Source organism: Homo sapiens, chromosome 19, assembly GCF_000001405.40.
Source record: "Homo sapiens chromosome 19, GRCh38.p14 Primary Assembly".
NCBI classification, from domain to species: domain Eukaryota; kingdom Metazoa; phylum Chordata; class Mammalia; order Primates; family Hominidae; genus Homo; species Homo sapiens.
Genome location: NC_000019.10, coordinates 16,907,876 through 16,930,124, shown reverse-complemented (window position 1 = coordinate 16,930,124; position 22,249 = coordinate 16,907,876). Strand labels below are relative to the sequence as shown.

The 22,249-nt window shown below is 51.3% G+C and overlaps 1 protein-coding gene and 1 pseudogene across 14 annotated transcripts in view; both read left to right on the top strand.

Annotated features, from left to right (window-relative positions):
• CPAMD8 (C3 and PZP like alpha-2-macroglobulin domain containing 8) overlaps positions 1–22,249 on the top strand; it is a 133,860-nt gene that overhangs the window by 96,686 nt on the left and 14,925 nt on the right. For all 14 annotated transcript variants that reach the window (XM_011527917.2, XM_047438612.1, XM_011527922.2 and 11 more), the window contains 6 exons: positions 885–1,183; positions 1,891–2,116; positions 4,753–4,929; positions 8,139–8,220; positions 15,312–15,468; positions 15,627–15,701. In XM_011527917.2, coding sequence (XP_011526219.1) covers positions 885–1,183; positions 1,891–2,116; positions 4,753–4,929; positions 8,139–8,220; positions 15,312–15,468; positions 15,627–15,701 — 1,016 coding nt within the window. The remainder of the gene's footprint in view (positions 1–884; positions 1,184–1,890; positions 2,117–4,752; positions 4,930–8,138; positions 8,221–15,311; positions 15,469–15,626; positions 15,702–22,249) is intronic.
• Positions 19,341–19,628, top strand: RN7SL823P (RNA, 7SL, cytoplasmic 823, pseudogene; annotated as a pseudogene).

Below are 22,249 nucleotides of genomic sequence, written 5' to 3'. Positions count from 1 at the left end.
TACCCCCACGCCCGACTAATTTTTGTCTTTTTAGTAGAGACGGAGTTTCACCATGTGGGTCAGGTTGGTCTCAAACTCCTGATCTCAGGTGGTCCACCTGCCTCAGCCTCCCAGAGTGCTGGGTTCTTTACCAAAGTTGAGCTCTCCTAGGTCCTTTGCGTGTCTGTATAAATTTTGGAATCCAGTTAGCAATTTCTCCAAAAGAGCCTCCTGGGATTTTGACTGGGATTGCTTTGAATCTGTAGAACCATCTGGGGAAGAACTCTAATGTTCATGATAGTCCATGAACATGGTCTAGCTTTTGTTGATTTGGGTTTTCTTTTGTTTCTCTCTTCAGCCTTTTGCAATTTTCAACACCTTGCTCATCTTTGGTCAGATTTATCCCTGAGCATCTTATCTTTTTGTTTTTAGAGAGAGAATCTTGCTTGTTTTTTAGAGAGAGAGTCACCCAGGCTGGAATGCAATGGTGCAATCATGGCTCACTGCAGCCTTGAACTCCTGGGCTCAAGCGATCCTCCTGCCTTGGCCTCCCAAGTAGCTGGGGCAACAGATGCATGCCACTGTTAACTTAAAAACATTTTTGTAGAGATAAGAGTCTTGCTATGTTGCCCAGGCTGGTCTTGAACTCCTGGCCTCAAGTAGTCTTCCTGCCTCAGCCTCCTAAAGTGCTGGGATTACAGGTGTCAGCTACTCTGCCCAGTCCCATTTTATCTTTTGTGTGCCATTGCCAATGCCATTGTTAGGCCAACACCATTCCACCATGTGTGCCGAGTCACAGTGAGACCCACTCCTTGTGGTCCTGGTGCTCACCTCCAGGTACCATCAGGGAAAGTGGGATGCCTCCAGGTGCCCTCTCAACTCCCCATCTCCTTTCCTCCATCCAGAGAGAGTCCACATCTCCACCCCCAACAAGTATGAGTTCCAGTATGTGCAGCGGCCACTGCGCCTCACCCGCTTTGATGTGGCTGTGCGAGCTCACAATGATGCCCGTGTGGCCTTGTCTTCTGGGCCCCAGGACACAGCAGGCATGATCGAGATCGTCCTGGGGGGGCATCAGAACACCAGGTCATGGATCTCCACCAGCAAGATGGGAGAGCCCGTGGCCAGTGCACACACGGCCAAGATCCTCTCCTGGGATGAATTCAGAACATTCTGGATCAGCTGGCGTGGTGGCCTTATCCAGGTATACAGCAGAACTGCCTGGGGCTTGTGCAGAAGCCTCATGTTCCTCCAATACTAGCTGCTTCCTGTTTGGTGCCAGGCTTTGATCCAGGGTCAGGAGGAGCAAGGGAAACATGGAGCACCACCTCAAGTTGTTCTTAGTCTAGAGTCGCTTACCGAAAAAAAAAAAAAAACATGTAGCAAGAGCTGTGGCAGAGGAAGCACCCAAGGATCAGGGAGCAGAGAGAGGAGGTAGGGGAGAAAAGAAGAATGGACATGAGCAAGTGAAATGGGGGTTGGGGGGTGTTTTCTGGGCCAAGGAAAAAGAAGATATAGAAGCTAACACAGCTTCCCAACACAGGAAGCTAATACTGCTTCCTAGAGGAAGAACATAACCAAAGTAGGTTTTGAAGTATGAATAGGAGTTCGCTAGGCAAAATGGAAGCAGAGTAGGTTCTCTAGGCAGAGCAATAGCATGTGCAAAGGTCCAGAGGTTCCAAGGAGCCCAATGACTTTGGAACCTGTAGATGCCATGCCTTATGTTTCTGTTGGCTGTTTAATGGATGGGGTAACCTGATTTCTCTCACCTCTGACTCCCCGAAGACCCTTCCTTGCACTGTGAGCATGGCTGAGGCCTCTGACCCTGGCCACAAAGCTGGTGTCACTGCCACCTGAGTGCCTACTGCCTGCTTCCTGCCAGCGTCCAGCAGCCTTGGTTTCTTTTTCCAGGTTGGCCATGGTCCAGAGCCATCCAATGAGTCTGTCATTGTGGCCTGGACCCTCCCGAGGCCACCAGAGGTCCAGTTCATTGGCTTTTCCACCGGCTGGGGCTCCATGGGTGAATTCCGAATCTGGAGGAAGATGGAGGTGGACGAGAGCTACAGCGAGGCCTTCACCCTGGGGGTCCCACACGGCGCCATCCCTGGGTCTGAGCGAGCCACCGCCTCCATCATCGGTGCGTCTGTCCCACAGCCTGGCTTGGAGAGGTCAGGGGGCAAGAGCCGAAGTTGAGACTCCAGGCTTAGTCTCAAGCTGGGCTTTGCTGGGGACCTGTGTCTTGGGGTGTCCACCCATACACCCACTCACCTGACAAGCAGCTTCCAGTGCCTTCTCTATGCCCATCCATGTGCTGGGCATTGAGGAAGCCCAAGAGCTGATCCCAACCCCACCCTTGAGGGACTCCTAGTCCAGGTGAGATGGCAGATCTAGAGCCCCCCAAGTCTAAACCTTATGCAGAGGTCAGGGTAGGGTGACCCCTAAGAACCTGCAGTGAACCCTGTGAGGGCAGTGGGCCAAGGACAAGATCCAAGAAAACACAAATACCTGAATAAGTCAGCCAGATATGCGGTGCAGGATGGAGGCCTGGGGGGTCTTGGTGATGGGGCAGGCGTCCGGAGCAGTTGCTGAGTAGGGGTGAGAGGCTCTGACTAGGGACATTGGAAGCAGCCTTAGGGGGTCTGTAGGGTTGGGATGTGTATTAGTCTGTTTTCATGCTGCTGATAAAGACATACCCAAGACTGGGTAATTTATAAAGAAAAAGAGGTTTAATTGACTCACAGTTTCACGTGGCTGGGGAGGCCTCACAATCATGGTGGAAGGCGACAGGTACGTCTTACATGGTCCCAGGGAGAATGAGAGAATGAGAGCCAAGTGAAAGGGGTTTTCGCCTTATAAAACCATCAGATCTCGTAAGACTTATTCACTACTGCGAGAACAGTATGGGGAAGCCGCCCCCATAATTCAGTTATCTCCCACCGAGTCCTTCCCACAACATGTGGGAATTATGGGAGCTACAATTCAAGACAAGATTTGGTTGGGGACACAGCCAATCCATATCAGGATGCCTCTAGTAGCCCAGGTGCTGGAGGGGCTGTGATTGATCCAGGGCTAGGAGTTGGGCAGAAGGGTGGTGAGAGTTTGGGATGGGCCTGAGTCAGGGAGGAGAGGGTGAGAGGCCGGAAGGAGATGGACAGACCCAAATGAGGGTGTCGAGGCTCTCTCTGACATCAGAGGGTGGAGGCCCTGGGACTCAGGCAGGTAGGTGGTTGTGGCCAGATCAGAGGAATTTCAAGTTTACAATTCCTGAGGCACGAGAGCAAGTCAGAGTGGATGTGGGGCTGAGTGACTAAGATGGAACTGAATGAGATAGGAGAAGAAGCAGAGAGGCAGGAATGGAGAGGAGGCGACGTCTGGGATCTGTGTGCCAGTGCCTTCAGTGACACAGCAGATGGAGAAAAAGCTGGGGAGCCTAGAGCCTAGAAAGTAGCCAGGCTATTTGTGCAACAAGAGCTGTAGGGGCAATGGCAGCCTCAGTGAGACATGCAGAGAGGCTAAAGAAAGAAAGAAGGGGCCAGGCGTGGTGGCTCACGCCTGTAATCCCAGCACTTTGGGAGGCCGAGGCAGGTGGATAACGAGATCAAGAGATGGAGATCATCCTGGCCAACATGGAGAAAGCTCGTCTCTTCTAAAAATACAAAAATTAGCTGGGCGTGGTGGCACAAGCCTGTAATCCCAGCTACTTGGGAGGCTGAGGCAGGAGAATCACTTGAACCTGGGAGGCAGAGGTTGCAGTGAGCCAAGATCATGCCACTGCAGTCCAGCCTGGTGACAGAGTGAGATTCCATCTAAAAATAAATAAAATAAAATAAAATAAAATAAAGAAGGAAAGAAGGTGTGTTCAGGGGACATTGGGGGTCCCAGGGGGGTCCATCAGAAATATTTGAGACAAGGAAGCCAAGAAGAGGAATACGGAATGTCAAGGGGATGGGAGAACCATAATTTTTTTTTAAAGAGAGAAAACTGAAAAATGCACCTCCAACTCCATACATATAGAAACTTTTTTTAAAAATTGAAGTGCTCTTGGTTAAAGAGAAAATCTGAATATTTTAGAAAGAATATTTTAGGACCAGGTGCAGTGGATCACGCCTGTAATTCCGGCACTTTGGGAGGCAGAGGCAGGTGGATCACCTGAGGTCAGGAGTTCAAGACCAGCCTGGCCAACATGATGAAACCCTGTCTCTACTAAAAAAATAAAAATAAAAAATTAGTTGGGTGTGGTGGCACACGCCTGTAGTCCCAGCTACTCAGGAGGCTGAGGCAGGAGAGTTGCTTGAACCTGGGAAGCGGAGGTTGCAGTGAACCGAGATTGTGCCACTATACTCCAGCCTGGGTGATGGAGTGAGACTCCATCTCAAAAAAAAAAAAATATTTTAGAAAGACTAGAATAGAATGAGAATGATTGTATAGACATACCAATATTTGTAGGATGCAACCAAAGTTGTACTTAGAGGCCAATGTATAGCTTTCAATGCACCTATTTTAAAAGCCAGGGAGGGAAAAAGCATTGAACAGAATGAAAAGCTAGAGAAAGAAAGCCTGAGTTAAAACTAAAGAACACAGAAGGAGGTGTGTAAAACTGTCACCAAAGCCAGGACACCAGCTGGTCTGAGCAGGCAGAGGGTGCCAGTCCCAAAGGGCAGTTGGGTGGCTGACTGCATGACACTCACTGTCTCCCATCCCTGGGTAAAGCTGTCCCTGTTCTCTACTGAACTGGGACAGCCCCCAACTCAACTCTCTTCTCCTTCCCACCAGGGGACGTCATGGGGCCAACCCTGAACCACCTCAACAACCTCCTGCGGCTGCCGTTTGGCTGTGGAGAGCAGAACATGATCCACTTTGCACCCAACGTCTTTGTCTTGAAGTATCTTCAGAAAACCCAGCAGCTCAGCCCTGAGGTGGAGAGAGAGACCACCGACTACCTAGTACAAGGTATTGGGGAAGAAGTGCCTGGGTTGAGGTGGGAGCAAGGGAGGCAGGTTCAGCCTTCAGTGGAGAAGACCACGCTGGAGGTGGCCCACACACCAGGTGCAGCAAAGGGGAGGAAGTGGGCAAAAGAGGCCATTCAGGGTGGCCCTGATCTTGTCACTGTCAGCAGGAGCCTGATGTCTGTGGCTGTTAGGATGAGATGGTGCTGTTCAGATACAGGGAGAGGAAAAGCATCTTTTTAAAGTGTGGATTTTTTTACAACAATAATAATATAACAGCATTATTAAAAATAACATTTAGAAAATAAAAGAGAAGGCCAGGCACAGTGGCTGATGCCTGTAATCCCAACACTTTGGGAGGCCGAGGCAGGAGGATTACTTGAGCCCAGGAGTTTGAGACAAGCCTGGGCAACAAAGCAAGACCCCGGTCTCTACAAAAAATAAAAAAAATGTTAGCCAGACATGGTGGCACACCCCTGTAGTCCCAGCTGCTCAGGAGGCTGAGGCAGGAGGATCACTTGGGCCCAGGAGTTGGAGGCTGCAGTGAACTGTGATTGTGCCACTGCACTCCAGCCAGGGTGACAGAGTGAGACCCCAACTGTAAAAAATAAAAAAGAATAAAGAAGAAGAAACAGTCAGGGGTTGCTCTAGGCTGAAAGTCTGGCATCTTGAAGGCTGATCATGGACAGCTAGGAAGGCCAAGTCCACTGAGGCCAGGTCCTGGGGGCTCAGATTAGCACTTGTGAGGGTCTGGGAGATGGGTGGACACCAGCTGGTGGATCCATCCAGGCTCAGGTCCTTAAACACCACCCAGAGTTGAATGAGCCCTCCTCGTGAATAACAGCCTGTACCTCCAGGGGACAGCCGGACCCTGTGTGCATCCAGCCAACTCGCAGTTCAGACTCAACAAACCCCAAATCAACCCCCGCCATCTTCCCCCCAAACCCACTTGTGTTCATTTCCTAAAACTGCCACAACAAAATGCCACAAACCGGGTGGCTTAGAACGACAGAAATGTGTCATCTCCTCATAGTTCTGGAGGCCAAAAGTCAAAAATAAAGGTGTCCGCAGAGCTGGTTCCTACTGGTGGCTCTGAGGGAGACTGTCCCAGGCCTCTCTCCTGGCGTCTGCTGGCTCCAGGAGTTCCTTGGCTTATAGACTGATCAGCCTGCTCTGTGCCTTCACAATCACATGGCTGTCACCTCTGTGACTAATTCCCTTTCTTTTCTTTTTTTTTTTTGTAAGAGCTAGGGTCTCGCTCTGTCACCCAGGCCGGAGTGCAATGGTGCGATCATAGCTCACTGCAGACTTGAACTCCTGGGCTCAAGTGAGCCTCCCACCTCAGCCTCCTGAGTAGCTGGGACTACAGGTGTGCACCACCATGCCCAGCCAATTCTTTGTAAAGATGGGGTTCCGCTATGTTGTCCAGGCTGGTCTTGAACTCCCGGCCTCAAGTGATCCTCTCACCTTGGCCTCCCAAAGTGCTGGGATTCCAGGTGCAAGCCACGATGCCCGGCCTCTCTTTTCTCTTACAAGGATGCCTGTCATTGGATTTAGGGCCCATCCTAAATAAATCCAAGATGCTCTCATCTGGAGATCCTAACCTTAATGACATCTGTAAAGATCTTTTATTTCCAGTAAGGTCCCATTTTTGGGTTCCAAGTGGATGTGAATTTGGGAGGACCCACCCAGTACAGAATTTCTTTGGTCACCGGTCCTGTCTCTGTGGACACAGCCCTGTCCTTCCTGAGGCTCAGACCACACACAGTGGTGCCCTCAGATTCGTCCTTCTTTCCCTCACAGGCTGTGTCTGGCTGAGTAGCTCTGCCTTCACCCCAGGAAGGCTCCCCACCTCTGTCGCCGCCACTGGGTCCAAACTCATCATTGCACACTGGGAGGGTTCCCCGTCCCCAGCTTTCTGTCCAGACCCTACGGTCCACTGGCTCTATATGTCTCCTCACACTCTTCTCCTACTCACACGCCACCCATGGCTCCCTATGCCCTTGCAGGAAAACCACACTCCCAGCCCAGCCTTGGAGGCCCTGTGGCCCACCGGCCTCTCACCTCACCCCCTCGTTCCCTGCTCCGTTCCCTGTCCCCGGCACCACCAGTTCTCTGAGCTTCCCAAGCTCTCGCCCCAGCAGTTGGAGCAGCCCCCACGCCTGGGGACAGAGGGCTGTGGGGGACAGAGGGCGCTGCCCCAAGATGGTGGTTTTGCTGACCTCCTGGGAGTGACCGAAGGCCAGTGTGTGACCAGTAGTCACGAAGGGGCAATGTCAGTAAACAAGATGAATGAGTTGGAGGTTACAGCCACCCTAGATGTAGTGTGGGGCAGTTTCAAGGACCTCAGATGTGGTGTGAGGTAGTTCCAGGGATCCCCGATGTGATGTGGAGCAGTTTCAGGGACCCCCAATGTGGTATAGGGTAGTTTCAAGGACCCCAGATGTGGTGTGGAGCAGTTTCAGGAACCCCAGATGTGTGGAGCAGTTTCAGAGACCCCAGATGTGGTGTGGGGCAGTTCCAGGGACCTCAGATGTAGTGTGGAGCAGTTCCAGGGACTCCACATGTGGTATGAGGCAGTTTCAAGAACTCTAGATGTGATGTGGAGCAGTTTCGGGGACCCCAGATGTGCTGTGGGTATGGGGCAGTTTCAAGAACCCCAGATGTGGTGTGGAGCAGTTTCAGGGACCCCAGATGTAGTGTGGGGCAGTTTCAGGGACCCCAGGTGTGGTGTGGAGCAGTTCCAGGGACTCCAGATGTGGAATGAGACAGTTTCAAGAACCCTAGATGTGATGTGGGGCAGTTTCAGGGACCCCAGATGTGGTGCGCTGCGGTTCCAGGGACTCCAGATGTAGTATGAGGCAGTTTCAAGAACCCCAGATGTGGTGTGGGGCAGTTTCAGGGACCCCAGATGTGACACAGGGCAGTTTCAGTGAGCCCAGATGTGGTGTGGAGCAGTTTTAGGGACTCCAAATGTGGTATAAAGCAGTTTCAAGAACCCCACATGTGGTATGGGGCAGTTTCAGGGACCCCAGATGTGAGTGTATGGCAGTTTCAAGGACTCCAGATGTGATTCGAGGCAATTCCAGGGACCCCACATGTGGTGTGGCTTCGGAGATCCGGGGTAGGGGACGGCAGAGTGGTGTAGGTCCCTGGGGGCGGGCCTGGGCCAGGCCACTCAACAGGACAGGGTCCTCTCTGCTTGCCCCACAGGCTACCAGCGCCAGCTGACCTACAAGCGCCAGGATGGCTCCTACAGCGCGTTTGGGGAGCGGGACGCATCGGGGAGCATGTGGTGAGTCCCCACCGCCCTGGGCATTGCCTCTGAGGCTCCCCGCCCGACGCCATGGCCTCACATCCAATGCAGTGTGACCAGATCACTTGGCGCCTGATCCCCGGATGACAGGGAACACAGCTGGGAAGTAAAGACTGTGGTGGTCCCAGCTCCAGAGATGGAGGTTGGGGCTTGGGGCCAGTGCAGAGCTGGTGATCGTAACCATTCCTGTTTCTGCTGCTGTTACCACAGTGAGCAAGACTCCATGCCCTGCTCTCTGGCCCCTTGGGAGTGAGCCCTGGATGCCCTGGGCTTCCTCAAGCTCCCAGGACTCAGGAATAGCGGTGACTGGAGCAGGAGGAGATGGCAGGGCAGAGGGGTCAGAGGCCAGACCAGCACCTTGAGGCTGGGGTGTGCTGTGTGCAGGAGCAGCCTGGGATCTTGTTTCTGTGGTAACTGCAGGGAGGAGACCAGGGCAGGGAGGGCCCCTGGGAGGCCGGGCACACCTGGGTCTTGTTTTCCTGATATCCTCAGGCTATTGCAGTTCTTGGCATCATCATGGGGTTCACCTGAGACTGTGAGTCACTTTCCAACTCCTGTACCCATCGCCGGACTCCTTCTCGGAGATTGCCACCCTGGTAGTGCCGACAGCAGCTGTGAGCGTGGAAACTGCCCTGTCTTTAGTCCAACAGAGTGTCCACTGCACAGTCACAGTGCCAGGATCCCAGGGAGTGGGGACATGTGGCTGAGTACTTCCTGCCATGGGCAGCATCACTTACCTAGCTCCAGAGGGGCCCAGGGTTGGCGACTCACCCAGCCTCCCCCAGCCCCAGGAGCTCATCCACACTGTCCCAGCTCTAGTCCCAGGGCCCTGCCTTGCCGACAGCTGATAACGCAAGGCCCCAATCACGTCTTAGCAAGCAGAGGCCCCGCCCACCCCAGGGACAGCTAAAGCCACTGAGTCACTCTCCAAAAGCTGGCTGAGCCCCAGCAGCCCCTAGGAGGCCTCCACCAGCCAGGATTAGCAAGTTGTGACGCATTGGACCTTTTTTTTTTTTTTTTTTTTTTTTGAGATAGAGTCTAACTCTGTTCCCCAGGCTGGAGTGCAGTGGTGCAATCTTGGGTCACTGCAACCTCCATCTCCTAGGTTCAAGCAATTCTCCTGCCTCAGCCTCCTGAGTAGCTAGGATTACAGGTGTGCACCATCATGCCCAGCTAATTTTTGTATTTTTAGTAGGGACGGGGTTTCACCATGTTGGCCAGGCTGGTCTCAAACTCCTGACCTCAGATGATCCGCCTGCCTTGGCCTCCTAAAGTGCTGGGATTACAGGCGTGAGCCACCGTGCCCGGCCTAGACACTCAGTGTGCACACACCTCCTCAGCATCTTCCGGGGATTAAACTCTCAGCATGAGCAAGAAAAATCAAATTTCCTTTTTGTTTTTTTTGAGACGGAGTCTCGCTCTGTCACCCAGGCTGGAGTGCAGTGGCGCCATCTCGGCACACTGCAAGCTCCGCCCCCTGGGTTCACGCCATTCTCCTGCCTCAGCCTCCCGAGTAGCTGGGAATACAGGCGCCCGCCACCACGCCTGGCTACTTTTTTTGTATTTTTAATAGAGACGGGGTTTCACCGTGTTAGCCAGGATGGTCTCGATCTTCTGACCTTGTGATCCGCCCGCCTCGGCCTCCCAAAGTGCTGGGATTACAGGCGTGAGCCACCGCGCATGGCTGAAAAATCAAATTTCACTGTGTGCATGGAAGTCAGCAGCTTCCAGGTCCCCTCTCACCTCCTGAAACATTCCTGTTGGTCTCCAAACATGGACGTCTTCCTGGGGACCCTGTAGGACAAGGAGGCAGTGAGCGCAGGGCAGTGGCAGCAGCACCCACCCCGAAGCTGGACAAACCTCAGCTCTGTCTCATGTGAGCTGTGTGGCCTTAGACCCGATGATCAACCTCTCTGAGCCTGTTTCCTTACCACACATCCCTCTAAGAACCTGGATCCATGGGATAAGCATGTGGTACACTCAGTGCAGTGCCGTCCTGTTAGCACCTCCCCTAACTACTTACCATAAGGCTCCAAGATCCTGCCAGGGAGCCTGAAAACTTGGGATCTGTTCTAGATGGGTTCCCTTATACTCAACGCACATTCATTCATTTATTCATTGAGTGAGCTAGGCTCTGGTCTTCATCCTGGGGGAAAAAGGAACACATGGTTCCTACCTCCAGGTCCTCGCTGCCCAGTGCAGGAGAAAGACCCTGTGAGAGATGCAATAGTTATCCACTGCTGTGTAACAAGTGACCCCAAATGTAGCCATTTAAAACAACAAACGTATTATCTCTATTTATTATGTATTAATTCTTATGGATCAGGAATTCAGGAGCAGCTTAGCTGGGTGTTTCTGCCTGGGGATCTTTGCTGAGGTTGCAGTCAAGGTGTTGGCTGTTGCTGTCTTCATCTGAAGGCTCTACTGGGGCTGGAAGATTTGTTTCCAAATTGGCTCCCTCACATGGCTGTTGGCAGGAGGCCTCAGTTGCTCACCACATGGACTTCTCCATAGGGACTACTTGAGTGTTCTTACAACATGGCGGCTGGCTTCCTCTCACAGTGAGCAATTCAAGAGAGAAAGCGGGAAGGATGCCATAGCGCCTTTTGTTACTTGGTCTTACAAGTCAGGCTGTTACTTCTGCCTCATTCTATTCTATTCCTTTTTTTTTTTCTTTTTTTGAGATGGGGTCTCACCCTATCACCCAAGCTGGAGTTCAGTGGTATAATCTCGGCTCACTGCAACCTCCACCTCCTGGGTTCAAGCAATTCTCCTGCCTCAGCCTCCTGAGTAGCTGGGACTATAGGCACCTGCCACCATGCCTGGCTAATTTTTGTATTTTTAATAGAGACAGGATTTCACCATGTTGCCCAGGCTGGTCTCGAATTCCTGACCTCAGGTGATCTGCCCACCTCAGCCTCCCAAAGTGCTGAGATTACAGGTGTGAGCCACCGTGCCTGGGCTCCAAGATGCTTTTAGTGCCAACCTCATGCTCAAGGGAAATGTTCATTGGAGCATTTCAGATTTTTTGCATTTGGGATGCCCAAGTATACAGGTAGCCCTCCGTATCTGTGAGTTCCACAGGATTCAATCAACTACAGATCGAAACTATTCAGAAAAAAAAAAAAAAAAAAAAGTCTGGGTGTGATGGCACGTGCCTGTCATCCCTGCACTTTGGGGAAGCTGAATCGGGAAGATTGTTTGAGGCCAGGAGTCGGAGACCAGCCTGAGAAACATGGCAAGACCTCATCTCGGCAAAAATGTTAAAAATAAGCTGGGCGTGGTGGTACATGCCTTAGTCCCAACTACTGGGGAGGCTGAGGTGGGAGGATCCCTTGAGCCCAGAAGTTCAAGGCTGCAGTGAGCTATGATTGTGCCACTGCACTCCAGCCTGGGTGACAGAGCAAAACTCCATCTCTTAAAAAAAAAAAAAAAAAAAAAGTTTTAAAAATTCCACAAAGTTCCAAAAACGAAAAGTTGAATTTGCTGCATGCTGAGTACAATATTGAATTCATGCAAATGAAGTGACATGTGGGCATTGTATTAGGTGTTCTAAGTAATCAAGACATGCTTTAAAGTACACAGGAGGGGCCGGGCGCTGTGGCTCACGCTTGGAATCCCAGCACTTTGGGAGGCCAAGGTAGGCGGATCACCTGAGGTCAGGAGTTCGAGACCAGCCTGGCCAACATGGCGAAACCCCGTCTCTACTCAAAATACTAAAATTAGCTGGGCATGGTGGTGGGCGTCTGTAGTCCCAGCTACTCGGGAGGCTGAGGCAGGAGAATTGCTTGAACCTGGAGGCAGAGATTGCAGTGAGCCGAGATTGTGCCACTGCACTCCAGCCTGGGCAACAGGGTGAGACTGTGTCTCAAAAATAAAAATAAAAAATAAAGTTCACGGGAGGATATGTGTCGGTTATATGCAACTACTACACACTCGTATATCGGGGACTTGAGCATCAGTGGATTTCGGTATCCTTGGGGGTCCTGGAACCAGTCCCCTACAGATACCAAGAGATTCCCGTAAATGCAAATATTCCAAAATCCAAATTCAAAATCTGAAACACTTCTGGTTCCAAGCATTTCAGATAACAGATAGTCATTAGACTTTACTTTTTATTATTTATTTTAACTAATTTTTTTTGAGACAAGATCTCGCTCTGTTTCCCAGGCTAGAGTGCGGTGGCACAATCAGGGCTCACAGCAGCCTTGATTTTCTGGGCTCAAGCAATTTTTCCGCCTCAGCCCCGCAAGCAGCTGGGACCACAGGCATGCACTACCATGCCCAGCTAATTTTTTTGAATTTCAGTAGAGACCAGGTGTTGCTGTGTTGCCCAGGCTGGTCTCAAGCTCCTGGCCTCAGCCGATCCTCCACCTCTGCCTCCCAAACACTGCTGGCATGAGCCACCTCGCCCGGCCATAGATCTTACTTTTTAGAAGAGTTCTAGGTTTCCAGAAAAATTGAGTAAATAGAACAGAGTTCCCATACACCTCTACACCCCCATACACAGCTTCCCATGTGATAGGCATCTTGTATTAGTGTGCTGTATTTGTTACAATTGATGGACCGGCATCAAAACGTTATGAACTAAGGTTCATAATCTACATTAGAGTTCACTCACACACTCATTTTTTATTTATTTGTGTGTTTGTTTATGAATAACAGGGTCTCACTATGTTGCCCAGGCTGGTTTCAAACTCCTGGCCTCAACTGATCCTCCTGCCTCAGCCTCCCAAGGTGTTAGGATTACAAGTATGGGCCACTGAATCCGGCTGAGAGCTCATTTCTTTTTATCACTTGATAACATTTATCCTGTTTGCGTTTTACAGTGGGAAAGTAGAGAGCACAGTATGCTAGACCATGGGAATTCCACAATTCCCAGCACACAGCTGGCTTGGTTCTGTCCTTGCCTCCTTTCCCTGCCGTGCCCAAAATGCATGGAGTTTCCCCCTGGTTGCAGTGTGCATAGCTGGTAATGGGGTGGGGATGAGCCTGGGAGCCATGGGGTCTCCTGGCTAATCCAGGGAACATGGGAATAGAAAGAAGAGGATGCATTTGAGGTACCTGAGAGGGAGAACGGCCTGGATGAGCTTTGGGTATATTTTATTTTATTTTATCTATTTATTTATTTATTCTTTTTTGTCTGAGACAGGGTCTCATTTTGACACCCAGGCTAGAGTGCAGTGGTGCGATCTCAGGTCACTGCAACCTCCGCCTCCTGAGGTCAAGCAATTCTCTTGCCTCAGCCTCCCGAGTAGCTGGGATTACAGGTGCCCGCCACCACGCCTGGCTAATTTTTTTTTATTTTTAGTGGAGATGGGGTTTCGCCATGTCAGTCAGGCTGGTCTTGAACTCCTGAATCCCAGCACTTTGGGAAGCCAAGGTGGGAGGATCACTTGAGGTCAGGAGTTTGAGATCAGTCTGGCCAGCATGGTGAAACCCCGTCTCTACTAAAAATACAAAAATATTAGCTGGGCATGGTGGCAATCCCAGCTACTCGGGAGGCTGTAATCCCAGCTACTCAGGAGGCTGAGGCACGAGAATTGCTTGACCCTGAGAGGCAGAGGCTGCAGTGAGCATGGTGGCTTATGCCTATAATCCCACCACTTTGGGAGGCCATTGTGGGAGGATCACTGGAGCCCAGGAGTTCGAGACCTGCCTGGGCAACATAGTAAGACCTCATCTCTATAAAGAATTTAAAAATTCGCTGGATGTCGTGGCACGTCCCTGTAGTCCCAGCTACTTGGGAGGCTGAAGTGGGAGAATCGCTTGAGCTGGGAGTTGTAGGCTACAGTGAGTTAGGACTGCACCACTGCACTCCAGCCTGGGTGACAGAGCAAGACCCTGTCTTGAAAAGCAAGAAAGCAAGAGAGAGAGAGAGAGGAAGGGAGGGAGGGAGAGAGAGAGAAGAAAGAAAATCAAGAAAGAAAAGTAGGAAAGAAAAGAGAGAGAGAAAAAGGAAGGAGAGAGAGAAAGAGAAAGAAAGAAAGAAAAAGAAAGAAAAGAGAGAAAGAAGAAAGGAAGAGGGAGGGAGGGAAGGAAGGAAGGAAGGAAGGCAGGCAGGCGGGCAGGCGGGCAGGCTAATGCATCCCATTTTTGTGGTTCATATAAAGAGCCTAGAGCCACTTGATTTTGAAGACAGCTTATTCATTGATCCTGAATTTGCGAAGTTTCCTCTCCTGACAATTTTGGTTTTCATCCCTCATGGCCTCCTGGCTTCCATCCTGTGCTTCTCTCCTTCATTTGTTCATGCATTCATTCCCTGGCCTTGCCAGCTCTTACTCAGGGTGGCACCTGCAAAAGCAGGGCAAGGGAGATGGGGTGGATGAGGGACAGGCCACATAACAGAGATGTTTTTGGCTGAAAACAACAGAAAACGGGCTGGAGAGCAATTCTGAACATCAGCTCACACTGCAGGGCTGGGGAGGTGCTATGGTTGGCTAATTCAGCAGCCCCATAGTGCACTGGGGCTCGTTTTTTTCCTTCCATCCCTGGGTATTCCCTCCCTTGGCACATGGCTGCACCCCTCATGGTGGCAAAATGGCTGCAGCTGCTCCCAGCATTGCATCACATGCCCATTCCAAAGCCATTCCCAGGCTCAGAAACTGGAATGCCCATGACTGGCTGGCTGGGACCACAGAGAAGCACAGATCTCCAGGGCACATGGCTGCTGGCCCCTGAATGAGATCAGGGGCCTTTTGGCAAGGACCAAGCAAGAAATGGCTGTGAGGTCGGCAACCAGAAGGGTCTTCCTCACATGGCAGGACAGGCAGGGCTAGACCAGCTCACAGAAGGGCCTTGAGTGCCGAGCAAGGAGCAGACCTGAATGCCACTAGGGTAGAGGTCCAGGTAGGAAGGAGAGAGCTCCGTCTTCAAGCCCCACTGGGTGCTGGGCAATGTGCCCCCTCCTCCACTCTGACAGCCCTGTGGGGACAGATGGGACCCCTCCCATCTTATAGATGAGGAAATGGAGGCCGGGGGTGGTGCCAGGAGCTTGCTGCAATCCCTCAGCCAGCATGTGGGGGCTGACCATTCTGCAACCCCTCAGCTGACACCCTGTCCTCTTTCAGGCTCACAGCCTTTGTCCTGAAGTCCTTCGCACAGGCTCGCAGCTTTATCTTCGTGGACCCCCGGGAGCTGGCTGCCGCCAAGAGCTGGATCATCCAGCAGCAGCAGGCCGATGGCTCCTTCCTGGCCGTGGGCAGGGTCCTGAACAAGGACATCCAGGTGAGTGGCCCCTTGAGCCTCCTTCCCGGGCCCCTCACCTCCTCCCAGAGCCCCAGCCCTGACCTGCCTGTTCCTACTCCCTGGAGCTGCCTGGGGGAAGTGGGGGGAAGTGGACTGTCTCCTTTGGCTTAGGGTGAGGCCTGTGAGTCCCCTTGCAGGGTGGGATCCACGGCACTGTCCCGCTGACAGCCTACGTGGTGGTTGCTCTCCTGGAAACAGGCACAGCCTCAGAGGTGAGTACAGAAGGGGTTTGGGGAGACTCGGGGCTGGGCACTGGAGGAGCAAATGGAAGGTTCCCTCCTTTATGCCAGGGGTGATTTCTTCCTCCCTGCCCTCCTTCTGCTCATTATCGAGGCTTTTTCATGCTTTTCATCAACAATGGTCACATTACATCCAGTTTCTTGTAATCTGAGCAGAGGAGAGAGAGATTCCCATGCTACTAGGGGGAAATTGGGCACATGTTGGGGGCTGGGGAGGTGCCCTGAGTACAGAGCCTCCCATGACTGTCCACAGCCCCTAGACCTCCTTCAGAGAATCATTTCAGGCTAGTTCAGGTTCCTGGCCAGTGACCCAAGGGTTGGCTTCAGGGAACCCTACAAAATGTTGGGCTCATGCATGTTTTTGCAGGGAAAGGGGTTAGGATATTCAGAGACAGTTGGTACTGGATGGGGCTTAGATGGCCCAAGAGACTTGAGGGCCATAGTCTCTTCTATGAGGCTTTCCTGGGGTGGGGGATGGCACAGTCTCTGCAGAGAAGGCTTCCACGATGGATCTCAGCCCTGGGTGAGAAGAATCTGCCCTCCCTAATACCTACATCAATTCTACAATCTCTCATGATAAATTATGAGTTTGGGCACTTCTCAGGATTCTTGGTCTCACAATCCAGACAACTAGTGGGTCTACAGTTTGCTGTGACCTAAGACCGCCCCCACCATGCACAATGTCCAGAGGGCCCCTTGCCTTGTGTTATGGGCTGAATTGGTTCTCCCCTGACCAAATTCTTATGCTGAATTCCTAATGCCCTGTCTTAGCTTGGGCTGCAGAAACAAAATACCATGGAGTAAGTGGCTTCAACAATAGGCATTTATTTTGCACAGTTCTAGAGGATGGGAAGTCCAAGACCAAGGCACAGGCAGATTTGGTTCTTGGTGAGGGCTCTCTTCCTGATTTGTTGACTGCCACCTTCTCACTGTATGTTCACATGGCGTTTCCCTAGTGTGTGCATGTGGAGAGAGAGCTCTAGTGCTCTTCCTCTTCATATAAGGACACTAATCCTATTATTTTGGAGGCCCCATCCTCGTGACCTCAGTCTAAACCTAATTATCTCTCAAAGGTCCCCAACTCCTAATACCATCATATTAGGAGTTAGAGCTTCAACATATGGATTCTGAGGAAGATCACACGTATTCCATGACACCCCCTCATACCTCAGAAGTCCTCCTCCACATCTCCCATGGAAGTGGTCAAATATGTCACCTCCCAAATGCATTTTTCTGGAAACTTCCCTGCCAGAGCCCTTGGCCCCCACTCGAGTTGGAATGGACAGCACCCAGGATGCTGCACAATTGCTACCCTCCTTTACTGAGAAAGGGTTTTGGGAGGCACATTTTTTGAGACGTTGCATGTCTGCAAATATTCTTATTCTGGCCCTGTATGATAGCTGGGCTGGGTATAGAATTCCAGGTTGGAAATTGTTTTCCTGTAGAATAATTGATGATGTTCTATCATCTTCTAGTTTCCTGTGTTCCACTGAGAAGTCGGATGTCATTCTGAGTACTATCCTTTGTATCTCGTTTGTTCTCTCCTCTGGAAGCTTTCCAATCTTCTCATTGTCCATATCACTATGGACAACAAGATATGTACACTTTTATGACACATATCTTGAGGTGAGACTTTTTTTTTTCAGCTCACTGCAACCTCCGCCTCCTGGGTTCAAGTGATTCTCTTTGGCTTGGGGTGAGGGCTGTGAGTCCCCTTGCAGGGTGGGATCCATGGCATGGCAGCTTCAGACTCCCGAGTAGCTGGGACTACAGGCATGTGCCACTGCATCCGGCTAATTTTCGTATTTTTAGTAGAGACCAGGTTCCACCATGTTGGCCAGGCTGGTCTCAAACTCCTGACCTCAGGTGATCCTCCTGCCTTGGCCTCCCAAAGTACTGGGATTACAGGCATAAGCCACCATGCCTGGCCCTCCCTTATGTCTTCAGTGAACACTCAACAGGCCCTCTACCTCCTTCCTATCCCTTGAGGTCACTTCACTTCTCCCAAGAATCTTTTTCTGCCTTCTCCATAGCCTTCCAACCTATTTCTCTTCTGAACCTGAAGGCCTGCCCTGCAGGGCAGCAGTTGTTTCTCCCTGGTCTTCTGAGTTCTGGTCTCTTAGATCAGCAGTATCCAACCTTTTTGGCACAAGGGACCAGTTTTGTGGAAGACAATTGTTCCATGGACTGGGGAAGAGGGGGTAGTTTTGGGAGATTCAAGAGCATTACATTTATTGTGCACTTTATTTCTATTATTATTACATTATAATATATAATGAAATAATTATACAACTCACCATAATATAGAATCAGTGGGAGCCTGAGCTTGTTTTCCTGCAACTAGACTGTCCTTTCTGGGAGTGATGGGAGACAGTGACAGATCATTAGGCTTTAGATTCTCATAAGGAGTGTGCAACCAGCTGGGTGCAGTGGTTCACACCTGTAATCTCAGCACTTTGGGAGGCCAAGGCAGGCAGATCACTTGAAGTCAGGAGTTTGAGACCAGCCTGGCCAACATGATGAAACCCTGTCTCTACTAAAAATACAAAAACTGTCTGGGTGTGGTGGCTCACGCCTGTAATCCCAGCACTTTGGGAGGCTGAGGCGGTGGATCACAAGGTCAGGAGATCGAGACCATCCTGGCTAATCTGGTGAAACCCCGTCTCTACTAAAAATACAAAAAATTAGCCGGGCATGGTGGCAGGCGCCTGTAGTCCCAGCTACTCGGGAGGCTGAGGCAGGAGAATGGCGTGAACCTGGGAGGCAGAGCTTGCCGTGAGCCGAGATGGTGCCACTGCACTCCAGCCCGGGCAAGAGTGCCAGACTCTGTCTCAAAAAATAAAATAAAATAAAAATAAAAATACAAAAATTAGCTTGTGTGGTGGCGCATGCCTGAAGTCCCAGCTACTTGGGAGGCTGAGGCAGGAGAATCGCTTGAACCTGGGAGGCAGAGGTTGCAGTGAGCCAAGCTCGTGCCACTGCACTCCAGCCTGGGCAACCAAGCCAGACTCTGTCTCAAAAAAAAAAAAAGAACAAAAAAAAAAGGAGTCTGCCAGCAAATGCCTCACATGCTCACAGTTCACAATAGGGTTCATGCTCCCACGAGAATCTAATGCTGCTGATGGTCCGATGGGAGGTGGAGCTCAGGTGGTAATACAAGCGATAGGGAGTGGCTGTAAATACAGATGAAGCTTTGCTGGCTCACCTGTCACTCACCTCCTGCTGTGCAGCCCCTTCCTAACAGGCCACCAACCGGTACCAGTCTGTGACCCGGAGGTTGGGGACCCCTGTCTTAGATCGTTCCCCAAAGGAGGCAAAACCTGCTGTCTTCATTTCCTGTGGCTGCCATAACAAATTGCCACAAACTGGGTGGCTTAAAACAACAGAAATACATTCTCATTGCTTTGGAGACCAGAAGTGCAAAATCAAGGCATTGGCAGGCCCTTGCTCCCTCTGCAGGCTCTAAGGGAAGAGCTTTCTTTGCTGCCTCCAGCTTCCAGGGACCCCAGGCATTCTTTGGCTTGTGGCTGCATCACTCTAGCCCCTGCCTTTGTCTGCGTGTGACCTTCTCCTCTGTCTTCTCCCCTTCTCGTCTCTTAAACAACACTTGTTGCCATGTGCAGCAGGGCATTCCTGTAGTCCCAGCTACTCGGGAGGCTGAGGCAGGAGGATTGCTTGACCCAGGAGTTCTGGGCTGTAGTGCACTGCACCAATCAAGTGTCTGCACTAAGTTCAGCATCAATATGGTGACCTCTTGAGAGCAGGATGACCAAGTTGTCCAAAGAGGGATGAACTGGCCCAGGTCAGAAATGGAGCAGGTCAAAACTCCTGTGCTGATCAGTAGGGAGATCGTGCGTATGAATAGCCACTGCACTCCAGCCTGGGCAACATAGTGAGACCTGTCACTAATTTAAAAAAAAAAAAAAAAGGCGGGCCCAGTGGCTCCTGCCTGTAATCCCAGCTCTTTGGGAGGCTGAGGCGGGCAGATCACCTGAGGTTGGGAGTTCGAGACCAGCCTGACCAACATGGAGAATCCCCGTCTCTACTGAAAATACAAAAATTAGCTGGGTGTGATGGCGCATGCCTGTAATCCCAGCTACTCGGGAGGCTGAGGCAGAAGAATCGCTTGAACCTGGGAGGCGGAGATTGCGGTGAGCTGAGATCACGCCATTGCACTCCAGCATGGGCAACAAGAGTGAAACTCCATCTCAAAAAAAAAAAAAGTTAAAGGTTCTTGTCATTGGACGCCAAGCACAGTGGCTCATGCCTATAATCTCAGCACTTTGGGAGGCTGAGGCAGGTGGATCACATGGGTCCAGGAGTCCGAGACCAGCCTGGCCAATATGGCAAAAGCTTATCTCTACTAAAAGTACAAAAATCAGCCAGGCACCATGGCACGTGCCTGTAATCCCAGCTACTCGGGAGGCTGAGGCAGGAGAATCGCTTGAACCTGGAAGGTGGAGGTTGCAGTGAGTTAAGATTGCACCACTGCACTCCAGCCTGGGTGACAGTATGAGATTGTTTTAAAAACAAACAAAAACTCCCGTGCCGATCAGCAGTGGGATTGTGCCTATGAATAGCCACTACACTCCAGCCTGAGTAACACTGAGTAACAGTGAAACCTCTGTCTCTAATACAAATTTTTTTTTTTTGAGACGAAGTTTCGCTCTTATTGCCTAGGCTGGAGTGCAATGGAGCGATCTCAGTTCACTGCAACCTCTGCCTCCCGGGTTCAAGGATTCTCCTGCCTCAGCCTCCCAAGTAGCTGGGATTACAGGCATGGGCCACCATGCCTGGCTATTTTTGTATTTTTAGTAGAGATGGGTTTGTTTGTTTGTTTGTTTTCCCTTTTTGAGATGGAGTCTCGCTCTGTTGCCCAGGCTGGAGTACAGTGGCGCGATCTCGGCTCATTGCAAGCTCCGCCTCCCAGGTTCATGCCATTCTTCCACCTCAGCCTCCTGAGTAGCTGGATCTACAGGCGCTCGCCACCACGCCCAGCTAATTTTTTGTATTTTTAGTAGAGATGGGGTTTCACCATGTTAGCCAGGATGGTCTCGATCTCCTGATCTCATGATCCACCTGCCTCGGCCTCACAAAGTGCTGGGATTACAGGCGTGAGCCACCGTGCCCAGCCAAAAAAAATTTTTTAAAGATATTTGTCATTGGATTTGAGGCCACCTTAATCCAAGGTGATCTCATCTCAAGACTCTTAATTACATCTGCAAAGACCCATTTCCTAAATAAGTCAGCATTTACAGGTCCCAGGGAATATATCTTTTTGGTGGGCCACCGTTCAACCCGCTACACCTGTGCTGGAATCAGATGAGCTGGGGGGCAACCAGCAAATGACCTTGACCCCTTGGAGTTCCGTTGCATCCGCTTGTCTGTAAACGGGAGGATCTGCACAGCTGGGGCCGGGCTGGGTCCATCCCTGCTTGGTGTGGTCTCCGCAGCGTCCTTGAGACCCGTCCTGGCCCGCGTGACCTGGGGTAACTCCCATGTCACTGTTCCTGCCCCTGGGATGGGGATGTCCAACCTTCCCCCACCCCCAGGCAATGGACTTGTGAGGGCCAGTCCTAGGGTCTGGCTAGTCAGCCGGGTTCATCCCTGGCACATGCCTCCCAAAGGGCATCTCAATGTCACACCTTAGGGACAGTTCCCACGTTTGTCCTGGTCTAAGGATGGAAAGCTTTGGAAACATTCTTTCTATGACCAGGACAGTTCCGAAAGCAGAGTTAGCTCAACTCCATACCTCTATTGGGCCACCAGAAGACTCTGGTTCCATTGCTAAATTTGTTAATGCTTCTGGTCACTCATTTCTTCCACATAATATTATTGGGCAGCTTCTCTGAACCAAAACCATCAGTAGATTCTGGACTTGGTCCCTGTCTTCCAACAGATCACATTCTAGGGAGGGCATGAGCAGGGCTGGTGGGCTTCTCTAAGGAGGTGACCAGGCCTGGAGGCTGGGGAGGGCCTGGGCTGTGGAGGTCTTAGGAGCCAGCTTTTTATTTCTATTATTTTTTTTTTTTTTAAGATGAGGTCTCACTCTGTTGCCCAGGCTGGAGTGCGGTGGTGCAATCTCGGCTCACTGCAACCTCTGCCTCTCGGGTTCAAGGGATTCTTGTGCCTGCCTCAGCCTTCTGAATAGCTTGGATTATAGGCGCCCACCACCACGCCTGGCTAATTTTTGTATTTTTAATAGAGATGGAATTTCACCATGTTGGCCAGGCTGGTCTTGAACTCCTGACCTCAAGTGATCTGCCCACCTCGGCCTCCCAAAGTGCTGGGATTACAGGCATGAGCCACTGTACCTGGCCTTAGCTAGCTGTCTTAACAAAGACCTGGCCATGGGGCTGGGTGGGACAGGGTGGCCAGGACTCTGCCTGCTTCCCCTAGAGTATCACTGTGCTCATTTGCCATGCACTTGGGCATCCTGGCCAGACCTCATTTGGAAAAAGGAGTGCCAACTTACAAGAATGGTAATGGGAGCCAGGGGCAGTGGCTCACTCCTGTAATCC